The sequence below is a fragment of the Homo sapiens genome, chromosome 8 (genome assembly GCF_000001405.40).
Source record: "Homo sapiens chromosome 8, GRCh38.p14 Primary Assembly".
NCBI lineage: Eukaryota > Metazoa > Chordata > Mammalia > Primates > Hominidae > Homo > Homo sapiens.
The window spans coordinates 115,536,215-115,560,562 of NC_000008.11; the positions used below are offsets into that span (position 1 = coordinate 115,536,215).

At 35.3% G+C, this 24,348-nt stretch overlaps 1 protein-coding gene across 4 annotated transcripts in view; it reads right to left on the reverse strand.

Annotated features, from left to right (window-relative positions):
• TRPS1 (transcriptional repressor GATA binding 1) overlaps positions 1 to 24,348 on the reverse strand; it is a 260,480-nt gene that overhangs the window by 127,719 nt on the left and 108,413 nt on the right. The window lies entirely within an intron of this gene.

Here is a 24,348-nt window from a genome sequence, read left to right on the forward strand (position 1 = left end):
TTACCATAAAAATAGTATTTCACAGGCTGGGTGCGGTGGCTCACCCCTGTAATCCCAGCACTTTGGGAGGCCGAGGCGGGCGGATCAGGAGGTCAGGAGATTGAGATCATCCTGGCTAACATGGTGAAACCCCATCGCTACTAAAAATACAAAAAAAAATTAGCCAGGCGTGGTGGCGGGCGCCTGTAGTCCCAGCTACTCAGGAGCCTGAGGCAGGAGAATGGCGTGAACCCGGGAGGCGGAGCTTGCAGTGAGCGGAGATTGCGCCACTGCACTGCAGCCTGGGCGACAGAGGGAGACTCCGTCTCAAAAAAAAAAAAAAAAAAATGTATTTCACAGCATTGTAAAATGCCATTTACATACTTTTAAAACAACTCCTCATTTTTGCCATTACTATTTTGTGAGTTCACATTTTACTCTTATGTAATTAATATAAAAGGTACCATAAATCCAGTTGGCAAATTTGCCAACCTGTTCACTATCATCATCCCAGTTGATACTTTACTCAATTAGGCCCTGCATTTTATCCTAATGTTTAGGACTTCAGTGAGTACTTACTAAATATAGCTGAAGTTTTTTTTTTGTTTTTTTTTTCCCTCTTAGTGGTGAGAAATAGATGCATTTTTAATGTTTTAATAATTTAAAAATATTAACATAAATTTGAAGGTCAGAATTTTACATATAGGGGGTTCTTCCTTTATATTCCATTTAAATAAAGTTATAAATTGCCTTAAAGGAAAATTGAATTTGTTTTGACACATTAGCAAAAATTTCCTTATCACATCACAAATCATGAATAAAATGCTGTTACAGAGCAACAGAGGGAGCTCACACATATTTGATTCTCTCCCTGTCTCTTCACTCTGGTTAGAAAAAATGAAGTTTGCTTTAAATTTTTTATTAGATGATTCCCCCACCCTGCCAAAATAAATCCAAATATATTTTTTAAATCAACAAGGAAGTTAACTACAAGTATATTCTTCCACTCTAAATCTTAGATGTTGTGTTGTTTTTCTTTTTATAAAATAATTTATCTAAGAAATGCTTCTGGAAAACGTTCATAGTTATGATTCATTCTGTTTACTATATTGTGTTAAATAAAATGTGTTCTCAAAATTATACATGTAAATGTTTGAGAATGAGAATCAAATCTTAAACACAAGCAGCCAAAATTTCAAAATCAACCCTTACCTACAGAGGACTATAAAGAAATCTCATTAACAACCACAGAAACTTAATAAAGCTAAGAAAATCACATATAACAAGCCATCAGAGAATCCAGACAACTTCTGCCACAAAACCCATAAGTCGATGCCTCTGCAAAATTTATTTAAATACCATGTTTACGTATTATAATAACTTGTCTTCTGATAATGTTTTGGGGGACCCAAATTAGTCTCCTATAAAAAAAAGACATGTCCTGAGACTCCAAAATAAATTTTTAACTTAGGAGAAAATACATATGTTAAGATACTAAAATATAATCCAGGAAATTCAACGGTTTAAAAATTGTATTTATTATTTTTCAAAAACAAAAAATCCAGGCTTTGCAGGAACCTCAATGTAATACGTAAGTGAGTTGGACTTCGAGCAACTTAAAAACTGGACAATTATCCTTGCTCTAATTTGCTCCCGGTTTAATCTTAGTCACATTGTACAGAGCTAACACTTATCCTCCAGTGTTCTACTAATTGCTTGGTGCTATGTTGACTACTGGGAATGAACCACAAGATACATCACTGTAAACTGCAGGGAGTGCTTCAGTGATCATGAGGTTAAAATCTCCCCATCAGCAGAAAGAGAATTCTTTACTTAACTTAGTGGTACAAATTATTTCCAGGTGCTGATAATTATCACTTGTGGTGTTTGATATTCCGGACTTTGCATCTAAATTTATACTTGACAAGTTAAACTTTTCATCGTGTGCATTTTCCCGTAATCTCTCAACAGCCAAAGACAAGGATAGACGGATTAGTGATGGGTGAAACCAATTCAACCCAAAATGGCAACACTTAATTACAAGTCTTGTTGTTTATAATTAACTGTGTAAATCACTAACTTGAAAGTTTCTTTTCAAAGTATTTAAAACCAACTCTTTTCCCAGGGGGATTTAATACTGTATATTATTGCATAGTTAAGTATTATTTTGTTTGCTCTATGAACAAGATGTGAAAATGGCACATTTTACCGACTATCTTGCTAGCAAATTTGGAAAATGTTCATGAATTGCATTACTAGCACCATTTGGTGCTTCTCAGTATTTTTGGACATTTTTTGCCTTATATATGAAAGCCAATGGAAAGACAATCCAACTACCCAAATGACTATGAGTAATTTCTGAGAGTGGAGAGTGAGGGTCAAATTCTCAATTTCAGAAAATAAAAAAAAAAAATGAGCTTCCAAATGTATCTTCTGAGATGCATTCATTTTTCTGTGACCAATATTTAGAATAAAAAATTACTGAGAACATACTCTGTGCTAGATACCATATGTTTTCTAATATTCTAATTTAGTATTTTCTATTGTAATATTAAAAAATACTGAGAGACAAGAAGACAACTCCTATTTCACTGACAATTAATCTGAGATTCAGAAAATGTAAATAACTTGTTAATGACTACTGAGCCAGTAAGAGGTTATAGATCTATAGTTTGAACTCAGTTCTTCTAAATCTAAAGTCGTACTTTTTAAAACAACCTCTCCAACATAATATCAAAAAAGTAAAGTATTCTCTTACCTTGCATATCTACATCAAAGAAAACCATAAGGAAAAGAAACTACAGATGTGCACGCAGTAAGTCCAAGATGCTTAAAAATGTCACATCATGTTAAACCTGAGTCAACCTAACAGTAAGGCTGTAAAAACAACTCTACTTCCTGATTTGTTACTGCATTCAGCTAATGTATTGAGGGCCTATAATGGCTCAGATCCTAGAAATATAAGGAATAAGAAGCAAAGAACCCTTCCCTAGGCTAGTGCAGGAGACCTATCAGTAAAGACATGACTGTAACACAGCATGATAGGTTCACTGGTATAGGTAGCAACAAGGGTTTCAAAGAAAGGTTAGCGGTTCCAGATAAATTTCATTTTAATTTCCAATGTTATTTTAAAAAATTTCTGGGCTCTAACTCAATCTATTTAGCTTCAGCTATCTAATTTTTGCACCATTTCTAAATATTTTATGTCTAGTCCCATCCTCTACCCAGTTCCTGATTTTATTATTTATTATTCAAAAAGAACGAAATGAAAATTATGTAGTTGAAAAGTAAAGCAATCGAATTTGAGTTGGTAGATGCAAGAATCAGCAAACCTGAAGATGGGTCAATTGAGATAAAGAAATTTGGCCAGGCATGGTGGCTCATGCCTGTAATTCCAACACTGGGAGGCTGAGAAGGGAAGACTGCTTGAGCCCATGGCTTTGAGACCAGCCTGGACAACATGGCAAAATCCCATCTCTACAAAAATTAAAATAAAAATAAATAATCCCCCAAAATTAGCCAGGCATGGTGGCACACACCTGTAGTCTCAGCTACTCGGGAGGCCGAGATAGTAGGATTGCTTGAGCCCGGGAGGCAGAGGTTGCAATGAGCTGAGATCCTGCCACTGCTCCAGCCTGGGACATAGAGGCTGGAATGCAGCCTCCGACTCAGGAATTATCCTGATTTTGCTGGATAATATCTGCCGTCTACATGATCCATCATCGAGAATCTGAAAGCCTGCTCCTAAGAATCATGTTTCTCTCATTCTTCAAAGTCTTTGCAGATTGTTTTTCTCTTGAATGAGAGTTGCATATGTTTGGCAACAGAACTTTCAAACTTCACACACCACCTCTTGACCGCAATGTCTCTTCTATCCCACATTCTTTTCTCATTCCTTAGAATTTAGAATTCATAATCTGATTTTATTTCTCTTGAGTTATAAATTCCATCATGGAAGAAAGCTTAACATGCTTTAGTACAAAATAGAAAAACAGCACAATGGACACATTTAACAGCGATATTTGAGAATTCACAAATGTTATAGTGAAATCAGAAAGCTAGTGGGAAAGTATAATTAATAAGAAAATGTAGTAAGACATTGGTAAATATTAAGGAATATATTAAAGATCAGCAATATTGTAACAGAAAAACTCAAAACAAGCGATGGATGACTGGTGGTTGGTTCTGTGTGCCTCCTATAAATAAACCACAATAAAACGAAATGAGTCCAGCAACAAAGAATTTAGTTAGAACTTTCCATTCTCAGAAAAATAAAAAGGATTCTTGAAGAGGTGAATAAAAAGATCTTGAGAATAGCATTTCTTGATCTTCCATTACTGCAGAATTCATCTTATCAGTTGACTGATCAGTAGTAGTCAGTTAACTGAAAAAGTCAGTTAAAGTGGGGAATCATAAAAAAAAATGTAATCACCATTTAAATTACTAATTATATTATTTAAATTAATTATTTTATTTAATCAGGAATTATATGTCAAAACACAAAAAATACATACTTTGGCTAAACTTTGAATTACATACCAGTTGTCTTTTTTACATAAACTTGTGCACATAATAGATCCTCTAAAATTTCTTCATTGCATGCCTGTATCAAAACAACTTACGCACCCCATAAATATATATCTAATATATACCCATGAAAATTAAAAAGAAAATAAAATTTTCAAATGCTTATGATCTTTTCCCCAATCTGCTACAATTATCTCACCCACACTTAATCTGACACCTCAAGTGATACATTTTTATTAAATCTTTCTTTCTGAAGCATTCATTTTTGTGTCACTGAAGAACTTCCTTTTCATTCTCAGATTTTATACACTTATATAATATTTAATTTATTTACATAAGTATATTAATAAGTTCACATACCATAACAGGTTTGGAACAATCCCCAACAACTCTTGGTGAACGTACAGGTCAACTAATAGTAGCAGAAGCGAATGTATGTTACATTAGAGAACAAAGCCTACTATCTGAAGGCACTCAGCATGCTGTGGACATCAGATGGTGCATTTTACCAAGAAGGTCCAGAGAGAACTGGTTACATAGGGATGGCTTAGGAGGGTTTCTTACTATACTTTTTTGATATCCATCTTTCTTTTTCACCACAGTGCAAAATTTTCAACTCTACCCTCCACTCAATACACATTAATGCTTTCACCACGAACGATAAAGAACAGGAAACTATAGCTATTCTTTATTCTAGTGTAACCAATTTTCACTGGTTATGCCAAGGCAATAGAACACTTTCACCTTTAAAAAGTAACCTCTCTTTGTAGACATACTTCCAAACTTATATCCATAATTTACTTGTGTTTTAAAATGAAAACTCAATAATTAAAAATTAGGTTCAGAGGTCAAGCATTCCACTTGAAATCAATTGTTTTTCAGCTCTGACAGTTACATAGCCTGCCTTATATCCAAAAACTAATCTTTATTAACAGCATTCAATCTCAGGTTCCTCATTTGTAAAACGAAAGGCCAAACTAAGAAGCTACTCATCCTTAATATAGTTTATGTTTCTGATATGGATGTATTTTAAAGGACCACATTCCACTTTAAGATATACTTGACACATTTCAGCCAAAATTCTTGACCGTAATACAATATTTAAGTGAAATGTCAGACATAAACTGTGCCAGAACCCTTATATCCACACACAGCAGGACCCAAAATGAGTATCACTATACTGGATTACACCAATAAGAGAAGTCAGAGGTCAGAGAAGCCACACAGAGCCCTGCAATAGTCAACAATGCAACTTAATGTCCTTTCCATGTCCAGAACAATTTGCCATAGAACTTCTGCAAAAGAGATTAATGGTGATAGTAGCAGCAAGTGGAAGAGAAATGCAAGATATGGAAGCCTAGCCAATATTCCATTTGTAATTTGTCACATCACAGCACAATAAGACTACTGCAATTTACTATTTGCAGTGTTGGCAATTTACAATTCAAATGAGCGCCTTGATTTTTCAAAGAATGGACTGTGTACACATCAGTCAGCATGACACAAAAATGCCCGGTCAGGTTCATTTTAAATGCACGTTTTATTTGGTACTGTTAACTAATCACTATCATTACTTTTACTGTTTACGGATGCGATATTTATTAGGCAAAATGTAATTTGGAATCCTTTCTTGCACCCAAACCTAATTCATTTCCTGACTTTCCGAAATATTTATATCCTGATTAGACACATTAGATCTTTAAAGCTATTATACTAAGATGATTTATTTATTTCTGGGGGCAGTGTTAAAAAAACTACTCTCTAAAAGGAAGACTGAAAGGAAAAACGCCAGAGTCCTTTCCAGAACTTAGAAAAAAAAAGAAATAAAGACGGGGAGATGGGGAGAAAAAGGGAGAAGGTCTAATTTAGGGCTGTGGAAAAGGATTTAGGCGCCGGCCACTCCCAAGTTTGCACCCTGCTTTTAGACTCTGACTTCCTCCTATGGCCCATGGCAAGACTCTTAACTTACTTGAATCAATTTCCACATCTGTAAAATGGGGATGATGATACTCACCTCACAGACATGTTGTGAGGATTAATTAGTGCCTGTGAAATGCTTTGAAGATGAAACGGGTTATATAAATGCTAACTATTATTATTATGAGAGAACTGCCCAATGCTATAATTACAGTTTTAAGTCCCACAATATGACCTACTCTGAAATAATCATAGTTCCATGAGGGAAAAGCACAAGCTTAAGCTTTCTCCTTTCAATTTATTGAACAAATACAGGGAGAAGACTCACATTTTCTCTTTTATACTTGCAAAAAGCAGAGAATCTATACTCTCCTTAACCTTGACATAAACGATTTCAGCAAGTCATTATGGCAGTTTTGAAGCAGGTTGGTGTCCTAAGGGATGTGGAGGCCCAAAGGACAGACGGGTAAAAAAAAAAGACTGAGAATATTTTCACCACCACTTGAAACACAAAGGGAAAATAAGTAAGTGGGCTCGCTGTTGTTATCCTCACTATCACTGTTATAGGGAAGCAGGCATGGTCTTATGGAAAAGACACAGCTTCCAGGACCTCAGTGTACCACATAGAGGTGACAAGGATTAAACTAAATTGTGGCTATGTCAGCTCTGTTGCTATTGCTATTGGGTTATGTATTACACATCCACCTCTAATATGGAGTTTTATCTATTGTCTCTTTCAAGATTAGCAATGACATAAAAATTGCCAATTAGCTTTCAAAAGATCCAATAATTTTTTTTAAATTTTTTTTGCCATCTGTGATTTTTCTTCTGAAAGAACCAAGTGTTTATTTTTTGTTATTAGGCCTTTGGTTCTAAGATATGCAAGTGAGCATTTAAAAAATATATATCTATATACCAAGATAAAAAGTTTTAAAAATTGAGGCTAACTCTTTAGCAAATTGAAAAATGATGTCCTCATTTTTTCTTCTTCATACAAGATTAACTTTAGCGATTTGTTTAAGCCAAGAATCTTTCTTCTTTTTATGTACCAGGAGAAGGTGAAAAAAATGAACCAAAGCCAACACAATACTGTAAGTCAAGTAAGAATCTAACTTAAATTAGCCTGGATTTTAAAATGACCCCTTCACCAGTTTATAGATCAATTACCTATCTTATACAATTCTTTGATTTGTCCTGACAAAAATAATTTAAGAAGTGATTTCTCTGAAATTTGCTCTACAACACGTTCGATGCTCATGTCTGTTTAACATAATATTGACAGTTCCCTTAATAATAAAACATAAAAATGCAAATATCCTAAACATTAAGACATGGAATTTAAAAACTGTTACTTGTAATTCATCAAGACAAAAGTGAACAAGAAAATGTATTTAGACATAAAATAAAATCCTCCTATCAAGAAATGTAAAGAACATTTCAGGCTAAAAAGAGAATAATTTCAAACCTGTGAAGTGGCATTTTTGTGAACACAACAATGGAAAGGAAGCAGAAGAAACAAGCGGCTAAGAGGAAGGATCTAGTATGAAATCTCAAATTGCAGCCCATCACTAAGTAGCCTAATTTAACTCCCAGCCAGCCACTTGCCTTCTTCAGGCCTCATTTGCCTTATCAGGGAAATGGGAGTTATAGTATCTATCTCATAGCATTACTATGAGGATTTAGTAAGTTAATGTATAAAAATATTTTACTTCCTGACCCTGAGGAATGTCATGAATGTGACCTATAAAATGCTGGATTGGAGGCAGGTGGAAGGGCCAGGAAGCCACTGAAATCTAAGTCCTGTACCTCCCTGGCATCTGCTGAGGATGTTGCTAGAGCTATACCTAACACCACAGTGTGCTAAGCAATTCTTCCAACTACACCTAAAAATACTAATTAAAAAGCTGTATTTTATTGATTCACTCACTAAAATTATTAGACATCCAGCAGCCTAAGAAAACCCATTTCATGTACAATATTTATAATAACTTAATGTTATTTCTATCAACAAGGATTCAAACACAACCATTTTTGCCTGATATGGAGGCACTTACGTCCACCAATGCTGTAACATTTGCATTCGTTAACACCCTTTCATTAATTTATTAAATCATTCTCCAGTGTAACTTCTGTAGAATTCCCAGTTTTTGCTTTTGTGAAATTCTGTAGTTGATGAACCTCAGATTTTACAAGTAATTGAACTTAACTACAGGAGAAGGAGGAGAAGAAGGTGGAGGGAAAGGACAAGAAAAAAAGCAAGATATAACTTTTTTTGGTTCCCCTCTTTTAATATTTTTTCTAAAATTCATACTAATAAATACAATCATTTAAAAATGCAGGTATCTAAAATTACATATAAACTGGTCCTTCGAGTAAGTCAGAGAATGCTATTTGCTCATTGTTAACTGTATTTTTAGTATCTTCCAAACAAAATTCTCTTTATCAAAATTATCATTTGCAGCTTTTCTAGGTAGTTTCCAAAGTGGATGCACGCTTATGGTTGGAAAGGATCCTTCTTGACAAAGCTTTCACACTCAGAAACTACTATCAAATGCAGTCAAGCACAGGAAGAAAGAATACACTGATGACCGAGTATGCTGAAATAAAGAAACATAAGGTGCTGCTGTCTGAATTCACACTGGAGTTTCTTCCACTGGTGTCAGTGTGGTAACCTATCTAATTAAACTGCACGAATTATACTTTTCCTTCCTCTATTCAGTAGCATTTTTCACTGGATGGTGGAAGACGTCAAGTTTAATAGTTAACTCTGTGTTTTCTTAAATATTCTCTCTAATTCCTATCTAGATAATTCATATCCCTTCTTCACTATGCCTAAGAGCCTTGGACATTATTGGTTGCTACAACTTAACTTAAAGAGCAGAAAGTCATTAAAATAGCACAAGGCATTCAATGGTGTCAATTATTCTACCCTTGAAACCATCTGAAATTAAGGCCAAACTAAAAACAAATAAATAGACCTATACTATTTACTGTACTTACTTTAAAAAAATATTAAAATTAGGCAGACCATTTCTTCATTCATATTTTAGATAAAGATCCAATTCAGATTTATGAAAAATTCCAATACAACTAATGATCTCATCAGTCAAATTCATACTATCTTTTAGTTATACTTGATGAATCAATTTTTCAACATTATTTTTAGGACAAATGGCTTCATTGTTTTATTTCAAGAACAGATTCAAAGAAGTGAAAAGGAATAGAAAGTTATCTGAGTGAAATGCACACTTTGCAACTTATTTCACCAATTTTAATTCTTTTATCTAAGATATCACAGAGTACAATAAAACTTGCAGATAACCTAAAACAGTTTATGATCTCAAAAAAGTATATAACAATGGAATTACAGTGTCTTTAATTATTATCATCCCTCACCTAAAGAAAAAGAATATCTTTTCAAATTGTCCACATTGTGAACTTAAGCTAGCATTATTTATATGTAAGAACATATTTAGAAAATGTCAATGGTGGGCAGCAAGCAACTTTCAAAATAAATAACATGCAACAAATTGAAATGAATATATATATTTATATAATATGTAAAAATTAAATTCTTGCATTTAATTAAATACACACATATGTATACACTATATACATATATATTTAAAAAGCATTTGCAATAGTTTTAACAAGATTCCCAATGCTAGCTAAAAAATGCTAAATAAACAAAAAATATAAAAACATCGTACTAATAGGTGACTTTCTCTAACAATCAAATCTATATTCTAATACACTTAAGTGATACCTGGGATACTATTTGTTTTTAATTTCAAAGATATAACAGTGATAGCATAATAATATTTGCTTTTGTAAGTAACTCTGAATTTGGCATGTTCTTATCCTTAGTGTTTCAAGAAATAATATACATCCAATGGATAAAGTAGGAAAAAATATAAATGTAACTCTCTGGCATGTAAAATGTGACACACACACACACACACACACACACACACAGAGCCACGGAGGTTTTAGTGTTTAACTAATGTAACATTTCCATAAATTATTTCCATAAATTACTTTTTAAAAATCTTTTCAAAATATCTACTATTATAAGTACCTAATATAAGCAGACATCTGTAAACTTGGGCAAAACAGTTTACATAACTCTTCATTACTGTGAGCTGAATAAGCAACTTTAGTTAAAATTTGCTTACTTTTTAACACAGAGCAGAGGTTCCTTCGAGATCCAGGTTGGTAAAACAGAAGCACAGATGTCACAAGTACGGACAAGAGGCAATTATTAAATAATTCAAAGAAAAACGTCCCAATCCTACGTTAACTGTTCCCACAAAGTCCAGTTCAAATGTTTAAATAATAAAACTGCCAGTGTAGTTGTCAACTACATTTGAAGTTCATCACAGACTTTGTAATTTCCTAGAAATTAAGTTTTTAATCTAGCATCCAAATTACGGGATGTTTACTTAATTTTACTTTTTAATTATATTAAGAAATATATCAAATGGTATAATTCATGCCTGATAAAATCATAAAAATGCCATATCAAATAGCAAATGATTAAAAGATGCTTTTATTACCCATACTTTGTTAAACTGACTTTCTAAGCATCACTTGCTTTTTTAAATCAGGAAAGGGAACAAAGAATGACTCAATTCTCTCTCTCTGTCTCTACCTCTCGCCCTCCCCTTCCCTTTCTCCCTCTCTCTCTTCCCTTCTATAGCCCTCTCTCCCTCTGCCTCTCCGTCTTTTTAACTCTGTGCTAAGCTGAAATAATCTGATGAGTCTTTAGCTTTAGCTGGGCCAGTGAAGCATGGGGTTTAAGCTTGTGGCTGTATGGTAGTGACCTGAGTGTGAATACCTGCCCCTAGAGCTAGGATTTTAAGCAAGTTATTTGATTCTCTGGTCATTAAACGCATCACACACAGGTTAGTGTTTCAAATAGAAGGCAGTCACCGTAATTAGCTTCAGGGCAATCAGAACTTCTTTCTTAGGCTTCTCTGTTTTCTCCCAACCTGCCTCCCTCTAGAGAGACTCTTCACCATCTTGCCACGGTCCCTAGTCCCTTGAGCTACCCTCATCCCGGGAAAGGCTTCATTCCTTTCACTCCCGAAGAGTAGCTGCCTTTATCTTAGCCATCTCTCCACCATTCCTTCTACGCTGCACTTATTTCGGTTTTCCTTTTGTGTCCTGTTGTCTACTTTGAACAGTGAATTAATTACCTGAGAACTAAACTGTGCTGGGTTGTAAACACTAGAAATAAATTAACTTGTGGCTACTCTAAGGATCACTTCTATTTTAAGAGAAAACTTCTACGCATAATAATCCTAAACCTGGCCAGGCATAGTGGCTCACATCAGTAATCCCAGCACTTTGAGAGCTGAAGCAGGAGAACTGCTTGGGGTCAGGAGTTCAAGACCAGCCTGAGCAACGTAGTGAAACACCATCTCTACATAAAAAAAAAAAAAAATAAGTCTGGTGTGGTTGGCGCATGCCTCTAAGCCCAGCTACTCAGGAGGCTAAGGCAGGAGGATCACTGAAACTCAGGAGGTTGAGGCTGCAGTGAGCCATGATTGCACCAGTGTATTCCAGCCTGGGTGACACAGCAAGATTCAAAAAATACATATATATAAATAATCCTAAACCTAAAGAAATCAAGTTTTAATTGTGGGCATTTTAGAAACCAAATCAACAACATTCATTTTTTTGTTTTTGTTTTTTGGGTTTTGTTTGTTTGTTTTTGAGACAGAGTCTCACTCTGTCGCCCAGGCTGGAGTGTAGTGGTGCAATCCCAGCTCACCGCAACCTCTGCCTCCCAGGTTCAAGCGATTCTCCTGCCTCAGCCTCCTGAGTAGCTGGGATTACAGGTGCCCCGCCCGCCACCACGCCCTGCTGATCGCGAACTCCTGATTCTGCCCACCTCAGCCTCCCAAAGTGCTGGAATTACAGGCATGAGCCACTGTGCCTGGCCAACAACATTCATTTGGAGGAAACCTGAGGATTTGGGAACACTGCAAGCCAAGATATAAAGAGAGAAAGAAGCCAGCCAGAACCACATTAAAACCTTTAACATTAAATTCTTATATTTCTAATAGGCATATTACTCTCCTTTGAGTCTATAATTAAAGTTTCAGGTAAATAAGACTACATTCAAATTCATAAAAGAATTAGTAAAGGATGAAAAATATTCTCAGTATAATCTGTGCTGTGTCTTATTCAGAATGCCTGTCTTAATCACATAGGCTTCTGATTGCTAACAATTAAAATCCTGATCTCCTTTTTCTCTCCCTAATAGATGAAAGCCTTTGTGAAGAAGATGTAAAATTCACCCTGTCATATTACTGACAAGTGGCACTGAGCTGGTAAAGTAGTGTATTAATACTGATTACACTGATTAATAGTACCGTAAAAATTGGTTCAATGGTGCTTTAACGTTTTTTAAAGAAACAGATGAGAGACATTCTGGGCAGAATATATAATAGCTTTACATCATTCTATCACAAAGAAAAATCTTTGAAATGTATGAATTAATGTGAAAGCCGAACTGTTCCTACTGTATATCAATAAATTCATTAAAAAATTGAAATGTCTAAACATCTCTCCCTAACCCCCTGCTATCAGGAACCTTTAAGAAAAGAATGCTCAAGGCTTATGACAGATCCTGCTAAATTCAATCACTGTCAATCTCTTTCATGCAAATGAATATGTATTCAGCATTATATAATTGTAACAAGAGTCAATATCAATTATGTTTCCAATATGACAGGTCCTAGGAAAACATCATATTGTATAAGATGATAACATCAATACCATAAATTCTTCTAAGCAAAAGTTATAAGTTTTAATACATCAATTGGTAAGAATGTTCTCATATATAGTCCATTGTACTCCAATATCAAAGATGGACGATTAGTAGAAAAGGGATTCCCCTGTCCCCTTTTGACAGCTGAAAAGGCTATCTATATTCCTTGAGTTGTGTAGTTCGCCCAAATGTTTGCAGCTACTCAGACAGACTTAGGAACCTTGGTCAAGTAGCTTCTCTACTATAATACTCTATTAAAAAAAAAAAAAAAAACGCTAAACAAAACAGCCCTTTGGAGTTAAGATTTAAGACACAGGAAGTGTTAAATTAGAGTAAATTAGAGTTTTACTGGATAAACTCAAGAATCTATTTGTTTTGGGGAGTGCTTTTCATACCACTACTATGCAGCAATTGTAGGATGGGCAATGCTGTCCTAGTAACCCTGGATAGGTAACAAATGTTGCAAGAGTCTCTCCTTGCTCTATTAAAGAAAACAAACAAAACAAAAATGATTTCTAGGCTGGGCCTGGTGGCTCATGCCTGTAATCCCAGCACTTTGGGAGACCCACGTGGGTGGATCACCTGAGGTCAGGAGTTTGAGACCAGCCTGACCAACATGGCGAAACCCCATCTCTACTAAAAATACAAAAAATTAGCCAGGCGTGGTGGTGGGCACCTGTAATCCCAGCTACTTGGGAGGCTGCGACAGTAGAATTGCTTAACCGGGGGTGGAGGTTGCAGTGAGCCAAGATCTCACTATTGTACTCCAGCCTGGGCAACTGAGCAAGACTCTGTCTCAAAAAAGAATGATTTCTAATGGCAACCAATGATTTGTGGGGCTTTTAAAGGAAAGTAATTAAAAATAGTTCTGTAACAATAACAAAAGAGGGGCAGCTGTGGGCTATGATGCCAAAGCATTCCAGCTCTTAAGTCAGATACTGGTGGACTCTCATGCTGGCTCAGCCACTACTTAGCTGTGGGGCTTTGGGTAAGTCACTCAACCTCTCTGAAGTTCAGGAGCCTTATCTGTACAATGAAGATAATCATATTTAGTGGCTAAATCTTAAGGATACTGTGAAGACTAAATGACAATTAATGCAAATTCATATAAAGTACAACTCTTTTAACTACCATTTGTCATTACTATAAATTGGAGTTGATCAATCTAGAAACAGCTACTTTGCAAAGTAGTGACCTCTCTGGTACTGGAAATCTTCTACCAAGCCAGGAGAGGACCTATCTGTTAAAGAACATCCTGTAAGAAATTCTTGACATTGAGTTGGAGGTTGTTCTATTTGACTTCTAAAGCCCTTGGTATTCTTGGAAATCTATAACTACCCTGCAAGTCTCTTCTGCACCTTGACTATGTTAAGTTTAACCAACTTTTATTGAGCTCCAACCACTGTTCATGTAAACATTAGCGAGAATCAGTCCCTTCCATTGAGGGACTTCCTTCAGTTGGAGGAAACCGAAACACGGACAATTTCATGCTAACATGGAATATCAGTAATACAAGTTCTACAAAGTTTAGTTTCAGGAAGGGCCTCTTCAAAGAGATAATCTCACAGTGACTCCTGAAGATACAAACACGGAGGACTTCTGTGTAAAGACTCCAGCCTTCACTCTGAATAAAAGGCACATGCATCCCTCCAGCCAAAGTGCACAGGATAAATTTAACAGGCACAACACTGGAAGTAAAAAGGCCACTTCACCACTATAAAGCACTTTTTTCAAAACCAGATTACAGAAAAAAGATCCAATAAATTATTTTTCTTAATATTCCAAAATATTAGGATATTTGTATATCCCATGATTTTATGATAGATTTGTAAAAAGTGAGCCTACCTAAGGCAAATTTCAAAAGAAGAAAAATGCTTCTCAGAGCTTTAGGATTGAGTTTCTGTATCATTCCAGTGCTAAAAAGTTTGAATTGTTTCCAAAAGTCAACAGCTTTGCTCAAGTTGTGATAAATATAAATTCTATACTTATGATGTAGTGTTTTCCTCTGGCCTTCTCGGGAGCCAATGCTTGTATACTGTATGTGGTTTAGTACGTGTTAAATACACATTTAAAAATTCCATTTTTGTGAAGTAAATGTGACAAATGTATGCCACTAAAGTCTTTATCATCAAAGCTGGATAACTCACATGTTTTACGTGCAGAGTATTGAGAGTTCAAAGAAGCAAAGCAGATTTTGATTATTATGATGCTTCCAGGAAAATGAATGAAATGATTCATAGTATAAAGTTTTTCAAAGTGCTTTTGAATAGACTTATATCTAGTTTCTAAAACATCTTATATAGCATTAAAAGCATAATTGAGCAAAATATGATTACATGGAATAAAATTGGAATAAAATTATGTTCAAAGGCGGAAGTAAAATGCATTTTATAATCTAAATTGGGGAGAATACATTTGCAACACTTAATTTAGTGTATCCCCTTTATCGCTGGCTTGCTAACATAGCAGAAAAGCAGGCCAGTCCGTCTGCTCTCACCTCCATGCAATGCCTGCCTTTTGCAGGTGTGCCTCAAGGACTTCTTCTCATTCTTCGAATCATCTTGCAGACACTAATGAGCATCGCTCTTCAGCTTTAATTATTGGTCCCTGACAAGTCAACATAATAGGAATCAGCTTAACCAAGCATACTCCCCAGCGACATGTTCAATTACTCAGGTTGTACTGCTCCAAGAGAGGTCTGAGGGGTTGCTAATTTAACACTGTCAAAAAAATAAACATAGGTATCACTTACAGTTTATCTTTTGACCTTTATGTCACCAAATCTAACAGTATATGCTTTTTTTTCCTCCTGCCAGAAAAGATCTGCAGATTAAGTGTGCTACAAGACCTTTTCAAAAAAAAATTAAAGTATCTGTCTGAGGTCTACATGATGAATGAAGTTACATAATGTACTTTACAATCTAAAAATGCTGGAATTTGTTAAGGGAGTCATTTCACCTCTTTAAAAAAAATGAAAAGATATTCTGATCTGTTGTTTACTCCTACCACTTTATCCCTTCACATCATGAAAAAGCAATAATCCTGTTACTTTAATGCAAAGATTAGTAATCATGAGTGGAAAATCAAATGCATATTAAACTAAGAATTTTATGCATAACTTTTCAACAGAAATATATTATACAGCAAATGACCATCATTTATGCAATATATCCCTTTGTTACAGTACAGAAATAAATAAATTAGTATTTTTAATTAAAAACTGTAGCATAGTAACTTCCTTGGTAACTTAACTAAACACAACCAGCAAACTGCAAACTGTACCATATTTGAGCTATATCAATAACACTCTTCTTATAATTTTTGTAACCATTTGGTTGTTATAATAAGTGTTCCCATTAGCTCTTATAAAAACTGAATCTCCAATTTATACAACTCATTGAAGGTACTTTATTTGTCAGCAATTCCCCCCACCCCCTAAAGCCCTCTTACCTTCAAACTTTAATCCTGGCAATATCCACAGTGAAAGGTTCATCCAAGAAATAACTAATTAAATTTGACCTAGTACAATGGTCACAGACTACACACTTCTAGAATGCTGAAATGTAAAAATGCATCACTACCTAATAGGGAGATAAGGTGTCCAAGAGAATAAGACGAATATTCACAAAAGTATTACATCTGCTACTAAAGAAACTCAAAGCGTGTGTCCTAATGATAGTGGGCCAATTTTAAGTTTACATAAAACCTTGATTTTTAAACAGTACCAAAATTACATATTTTTATACATAACATTATATAAATCATAATATATTAAAATTTTTTATTATGTTGAGTAAGTAGTATTTTTTGTTGCTTTTTACCAAGATTATTGAGATGTAACCTTTACTTGGGCAGGAATCTTGCATATTTCAACTTTGTAATTGCAATGCCCAGATCAGAATCTTGATCATTTAGAGTGTCTGTAAAAATAAATAATGACTGAATCAACAAATGAATTATCCACATTCTGAATGTTTAACTCACTCTATGTATAGGTATATGTAAATCCTTCAAAAAGTAGTTTCTTAACTAACACACTAATATACTAACATGAAGTTTAGGCTGACCACGCTGTTAAAAACCTTTCTAGCTAGTTAAAAACCATTATTGCTGCTTATCGTTTATGATAATATATGTTATTGTACAATATTCTATTTTCCTCTTTGATATGAAGGTAGCTTTGATAAGTAAGTAGTCATAAGTAAATAGACAATGAATTATTTAGGAGAATGTAAATGTCACCACAACATATATAAGCAGCTTAATTTTCAATAACATTTAGTTTTCTAGGCTAAGATACTCTGATGATAGATATTAGAAACTTTCATTGCTCTTCTTCTTTTTCACAGTAGCATAGAGGTAAATAAATTTATATTAGACTGTTGAATCCTTTAGAAAGTGATAGCTAAAATTTGGAAAATCATCTAAATTTGTGATCTGATTATAAATAGAGAATATGTGGAGTTCATGATATTCCTCATACAATTAACACTTCAATGAATTTATTATCAGGCTCTGATAGCTGAGTATTTGCTAAACTTGAATTCCAAATTTATAGTCTTTATTAAACACTTACTTTTTTCCAAAAATTCTTAAAATGTATTTGTATACTACAAGTTATAAAAACATTTTTAATTTTAAAGAAACTAAGAGTGTGGAATGTTTAAAAGTATGAAATATTAATAAACATTTCTACAAAAGTGTTTATTGCTTTCCCATTCACTAAACTAGTTCCTCAAAAGCATTCTTAATATTAATAGAAAAGCAAACAAGAGAAGAAAATCTGTGAAACTGGCTCAGCATTTCTAGTCATTAATGAATAATAGGGGAGGATTTTTTTCTCCCTTTCTTTCAAGTCCTCAGAGATAACCTAAGAGTAGAGTCCCACTTGTCTTAAAAGGGAGCTTTTCAAAATGACAGGACAGTCAGACATCCAGGCCCTACCTAGGGCCCCACCTCATACCAAAGACACTTAAAAAGTAGAAGGGCATTTCCGTTATCACCAAATGAAATGACCCACCCCTTTCCTAGAACCAATCTTTATTCCAAAAACATCACGATAAAACAATGCACAAAATAAAATGATTGATTCAGGGTGACAAAACTGAACAATGCTTCATTCTCAAACTTTAAAACTGAGATGCCTCCATCAGTTATTATGCGCAAAACAGCCCACACATTATGACCAATGAGGATTGCACCGCAGTTTTCGATTCAAGATTTACATCAGTTCAACAGCATATCCCTCAAAGTCTGGTTAAATGTGAGATTTATCAATGTAATAATAGAAGCAGAAATAAATTACAGTGTAGAGGCCAAAACGAAGAGATAAGGCTTCCAAACAGATTAGAAAAGGGGGCAAGTCAATGGAGTCCTGAGATAAGGGCAGCTGCTCTAGATGGCACAGGTTCAGAGGAGAAGGCCCTTTGAAAGGCGTGCCAGTGTGAAGAGGGAGATGAGAGGCCCGGGGGTAGGTGAGGAGAAGGACAAAGGGAAGAACAGGGTGACTGAGACCAGTTTGACAATGAGCATGAATGGAACAGGGCAAGAGGGCGAAAATAAGTGGTTCTACCTCAAACACTGAGGGACTCTCTTTCTACTTCCTAGTTACTGATACCTTCCTATCTCTTCCCAAAGTATCTGTGGGAGCTACATTCCCCAAACACCCAAACCCTAGAAGCTACTAACTGTCAAAGGCAAACACAGTTTAACAGACACTTAACAATCACAGTTTTCACAGTCTTCTGAATGGATAGTTCCTAAATGATAATCCAATTAAAAAATATACTTGGTTTTTTTTCTGTACTGCTAACTTCGCTCTTAGAACATTCAGTAAGATATCAGGTAGAATTTCTTTCATATCAGGTAGAATTTCAATCGGACTCTTAAGATTACATGTCCTAAATGTAGGAGTATGTAAGGTAAATGAAACTGATTATTTCAACATCTGTTTCTCACTTCCAACATCAAGAATTCCTTTGTAATTATTAAAAACAAGAAAGAAAACCTAACAGTTTTTCCGAACACTTCCAATATGTTATGAAACATTAATGACCTTTTCTATGGATTTTAGAAAACAGATTTCTTTGGCAAGTACTTCTTTTTTTTTTTCTTCCAGCTGACCCATTCCCTTCAGACAAGACTATGTGAAGCAGAGGGGGTTGATGAAGGGAGGATAATGACATCAGTATGTGGTCAGGTGGGCAGAGCTCAGGCCAGTATATTTCCACTATGCAAGCCAGTCGCCAGCACTCAAATAGCACTTTCTGCTAAGACACTGCTAAACCTATTGCAGAATTTTAAAGACTAGCAGGGCACAGTGGCTCACGCCTGTAATCTCAGCTCTTCGGGGCTAAGTGGGCAGATTGCTTGAGTCTAGGAGTTCGAGACCAGCCTGAGCAACATGGTAAAATCTCGTCTCTACAAAAAATACAAACAAACAAACAAACAAACAAAAAAAAAAGCCAGGCATGGTGGCTTGCTATGTAGTCCCAGCTACTCAGGAGGCTGAGGTGGGAGGATCACCTGAGCCTGGGAGGAGGGAGGCTGCAGTGAACCATGATTGCACCACTGTATTCCAGCCTGGACGACAGAGACTTTGTCTGAAAAAAAATAAAATAAAATAAAGTAAAAAGAACTTTCAAGACTAAGACACTAAGTGTGATTTCAATATATCCCAACTACTCTACATGTGGATCTCAAACAGGGATGGTAAAAGATTACCATTCAAAAGGCTGATCACATTGGCAACCTCTAGGTGTCAAGGTTCCTGTTGGCAATTATTGCTTCCCCCTGAAAGTTTTGAAATTGTCTTTTAAAAACTACAGAATGACAAAACTATTTTTTTTAACAGAGAAACTGATGGCAAAGATAATATGCCTGAATGGCTGCTTTGAAATACTGTGATATTCTAAATTCTGAACTTTTTTTTACTGACTGATAAGCAGCATATTTAAATTGCCTATTAACACACCTGCAATGCCTGCATATCCTCCATCCAAAGACTGACCCTAGCTTTAAATCTCTCGGAGTCAACTGTACAGGTCTTGAAAATCAACGTCCTTTTATTCAAAACCATGGTCCTTTATTTATTCTGTGCTCTTTTGATATTCATATGGTATACTGCTACCATATCTGTCTAAAAGGATGGCAAATGCCATTCCTGTGCCAATTCATGTGCCTGTGTTCTGCTTTACAAAACAGACTGCATGTTTCTTAGGCCAAGTAGTGTATCCTACTGCTATATATTCCTAGTATTTTTGAGTCCTTTACACACAAATATCTATTCAGCAAATCTGGCAACTTAATGAAGTTGGGAACACTTCTGTCTAAGATCTCCAGAAATTCATCATGTCTAGTGGCATTTCCTATTTTTTATGATGCTAAGTATGCATGTATGCCACATTTCCAAGCTTCCTATTACCTCATCCCTAGCATTTTTAGCCCTAGCAATTTAAACGTCAGCCCATGCAAAGAACAGATTCAGTGCTGGAGTTTACTGGTTGTATTAGTATGCTTTCATGCTGCTGATAAAGACATATCCAAGACTGAGCAATTTACAAAAGAAAGAGGTTTAATGGACTTACAATTCCACATGGCTGAAGAGGCCTCACAATCAAGGTGGAAGGCAAGGAGAAGCAAGTCACATCTTACATGGATGGCATTAGGCAAAGAGAGAGAGCTTGTGCAGGGAAACCCCTCTTTTTAAAACCACCTGATCTCGTGAGACTTACTCACTATCATGAGAACACCATGGGAAAGACCTGCCCCCATGATTCAATTAACTCCCACCAGGTCCCTCCCACAATACATGGGAATTCAAGACTAGATTTGGGTGGGGACACAGCCAAACTATATCACTGGTTATTTAAGACCCTGTTTCTCATCCTCATATGTCTCAAACTCAAAAGATGGTAAGTCATGACTACAATGAAACTTTCTCCTTTTCCCCCCAAAATCTAAAAGCCTCTTAATACGGTTTGGCTATGTCCCACTCTAATCTCATCTTGAATTGCAGGTCCCATAATCCCCACATGTCATGGAAGTGACCCAGTGGGAAGTAATTGAATCATGGGAGCAGTTACCCCTTGTTGTCCTTGTGATAGTGACTGAGTTCTTGAGAGAGCTGATGGTTTTATAAGGGGCTTCCCCCTTCATTCAGCTTTCATTCTTCTCTCTCCTGCTGCCTTGTGAAGGACATGTCTGCTTCCCTTTCCGCCATGATTATAAGTTGCCTAAGGCCTTCCCAGCCATAAAGAACTGTGAGTCAATGACACCTCTTTCCTTTGCAAATTACCCAGTCTTGGATATTTCTTCATTGCAAAGTGAGAATGAACTAATACATTTTCACTGGATCCAAGAAGAGGTGCAAACATGACCCTTGCATGTCAAATGCTGTTACAATTTCCCATCCCAATAGCACCACATGTTTCAAGCACCATGGCTATTATCTGTCTTCCATCTCAGAGTTAGGGAAGAGTAATATATTCTAGCGAATTTTTTGCTTGTCACTGACAGTAAGAGACACAAAAACACTACTACTTGTAACGTTCATAATTATGGTACAATTATGAGGTGATGTGTTCTTAAAACTAAGAAACTCTAAGCTTAGAATCCAAGTAACCAGATTTCTAATTACGAGGACAGTTCTAAGCTCAATTCACAAAACAGACAGGAAAAAAAAAAAAAAGGCTTTGCATTTCTTGCTAACACAGATAAAACATTGTATATTATTCTTCAAATTTGTGAGATATTCTGTAAACTCTAGTCTAAGACCAGGGATAAAGGACACATGATGATAAACCATCTTACTATAATTTAACTTAATCTAGCAGTAATAAAGATAGTTGTAATTTACTGTTAATATTGGGAAAGGTTGATGAAATAAAGCTAAAATCTCCCACTGGCGTTCAATCAAAGCTCTTCAATTTCCAGATGATTATAAATGAAAATCAGAAAACAAGCCAGTGGGGAAGGAATGGCCAGTCGAGGCTTAAGCCTAGCTGTTCTACCTCCCCTAGATAAAGAGGCTGAGCCACTAAGGCATCCAGGCACTGGTTTTCCATAGAATTCAAGGTTATAGTTTGGCACAACTAATCTTGCTTCTCAATATTTCTTCTCAGTGCTGCAAAGCATTTTAGCAATTAAGTATGAAAAACACTTACTCCTGGAAGCATAAAATTCACTTTGTGGATTTATATCTTCCCATTATTGGCCTGTACTTAATCACTGCTTTTTTTCATCATCTACTCAGTGGGGTTCTGTACAATTAAGATTTTTCAAATCCATAATTACAATTATATTTCTGTAACATAGTTTTATGACAAATTGCATACGCTTTTGGAGTTATCAAATTATCTAGAATCAAACCTGCTAGATATAAGAAAGCACCGTGTTAATGATAAAACAACTGCTATAACTAGAAATGATAAAGAATCTTTGGAATGCTAATGTGGTATTTTTTTAAAGGATAAGGAGATGAAATTTAAAACCACTTTTACAAAGATGCTATACCTAAAAAAATTCATATGTTAAGGGGTAACATTGCTATCAGAATACCCGTGGTTATCAGCTGCCTTAGGGGCTCTTGAACTTTATTTTAAATGTATCCACATTTCAAAATCTACTAAACACCATACAATTTCAAGATAAAACCTCTGTCTTTTATTCTTTAATGTTACTGCATCAGCATTACAAAGTACATTAATATTTCTGAATAACAAAATACATTATGAAATCCTATGAAGATGTCTTCTCCATTTATGCTACCCAGTTTATTAACATTAATAAAAATGCCATATTTATTATCATCCATGGCTGGTGTGAGCATTTCAATATGTTACCCAGCAGCACTTGAAATATTGATACAAAAGTGAGAGTACATTATTCACTGGCTTTCTAAAACAAGCTTTTAGCATTTTAAATCTAGGTATTCATCTTTGATACTGCATCATTATTTGGATAACACTAAATTCATAAAGTGTCAATCTTAGGGTTATAATAAGAAGTAAGTAGGTGTGAGCTCATTCTGATTTATTCCTAGGTCTCACGCACCACAAATGGTTTATGTTTATTACCCTTGAATGTTCAGATATACACAGAAGAAGTAACTGCCATGAGAGATATTTCTGTATGGTTCACTACTGAATACCCAGTACCCAGCATAAAGCCCTGCTCTCAGCAGACACTGATATATGTTTATTGAATGTGTGAATGAATCTAGCTTCATCACATTCGATGCCATATGAGAAAATCATTTTAGGGCAATACAGAGTTTATAAATGAATTAAAATTTGGAATCAAATTTCCAAAGATTTTATTTTTTAAAAAATGTCAAATTCCTGTAAAATCTTACCCTTGAAAGTGCCCTTGAAATGCACTTTCCCCCAGGTGTACATCTTTTATATGAAACCAAATCATCAAGTTGTTGACTTCAATAACAGACAATGGATGGATGAACTGGCCTTTTAAGTCTTTTTATACAATTCCTTTACTAACATTATATACTTATAGAAATACTGAGTCATAAATGTATACATTTCAAATCTTCATCTTGACTTTCTTGGGAGGCACTAGGTTCCCAAAGCACAAGAATGAGTTGCTTATACTTTAAGAGAATTTAAAGATGACTCTCTTCTCAGCTCCATCCACCTTCATGTTGCTGTTTATTAATCTGATTAATCTGTTTGTTTGTTTGTTTTCAAAGTAGAGTAAAAATAAAATCAACATTCCTTCATTTCTCAAATCATTTCCCAAAGCTAGAAAGAGGACTACTGTGGGCATTCAAAATCTAAAAAGGCTATTCCCACAATTTATAAAACAGGTCAGGAAACTAGAAGCATTAAATCAGTGATCAATATCAGGCCTGCCCAAAAAGGAATCCACGAAGAAAAATTTTATTTAGAGTCCTTACAACATTAATGAGGCAGAGAAATCTTTGCTGACTAAAGCCAGAAGTTAGCAGAGAAAAGAAACAAAGACTGTTTTCATAAAATCATAACAACCACGTTGCTAAGGTGTAAAGGGGCCATTTAAATATCTAGGTTACTTTGTGCCTTGAACTATTTTGAACATTCCAGGGAAATGCTGCTGAATCCATTTTAGGGAGTCCCAAATGCAAAATTAGCCACACTGTGAGAAAAGTTAAA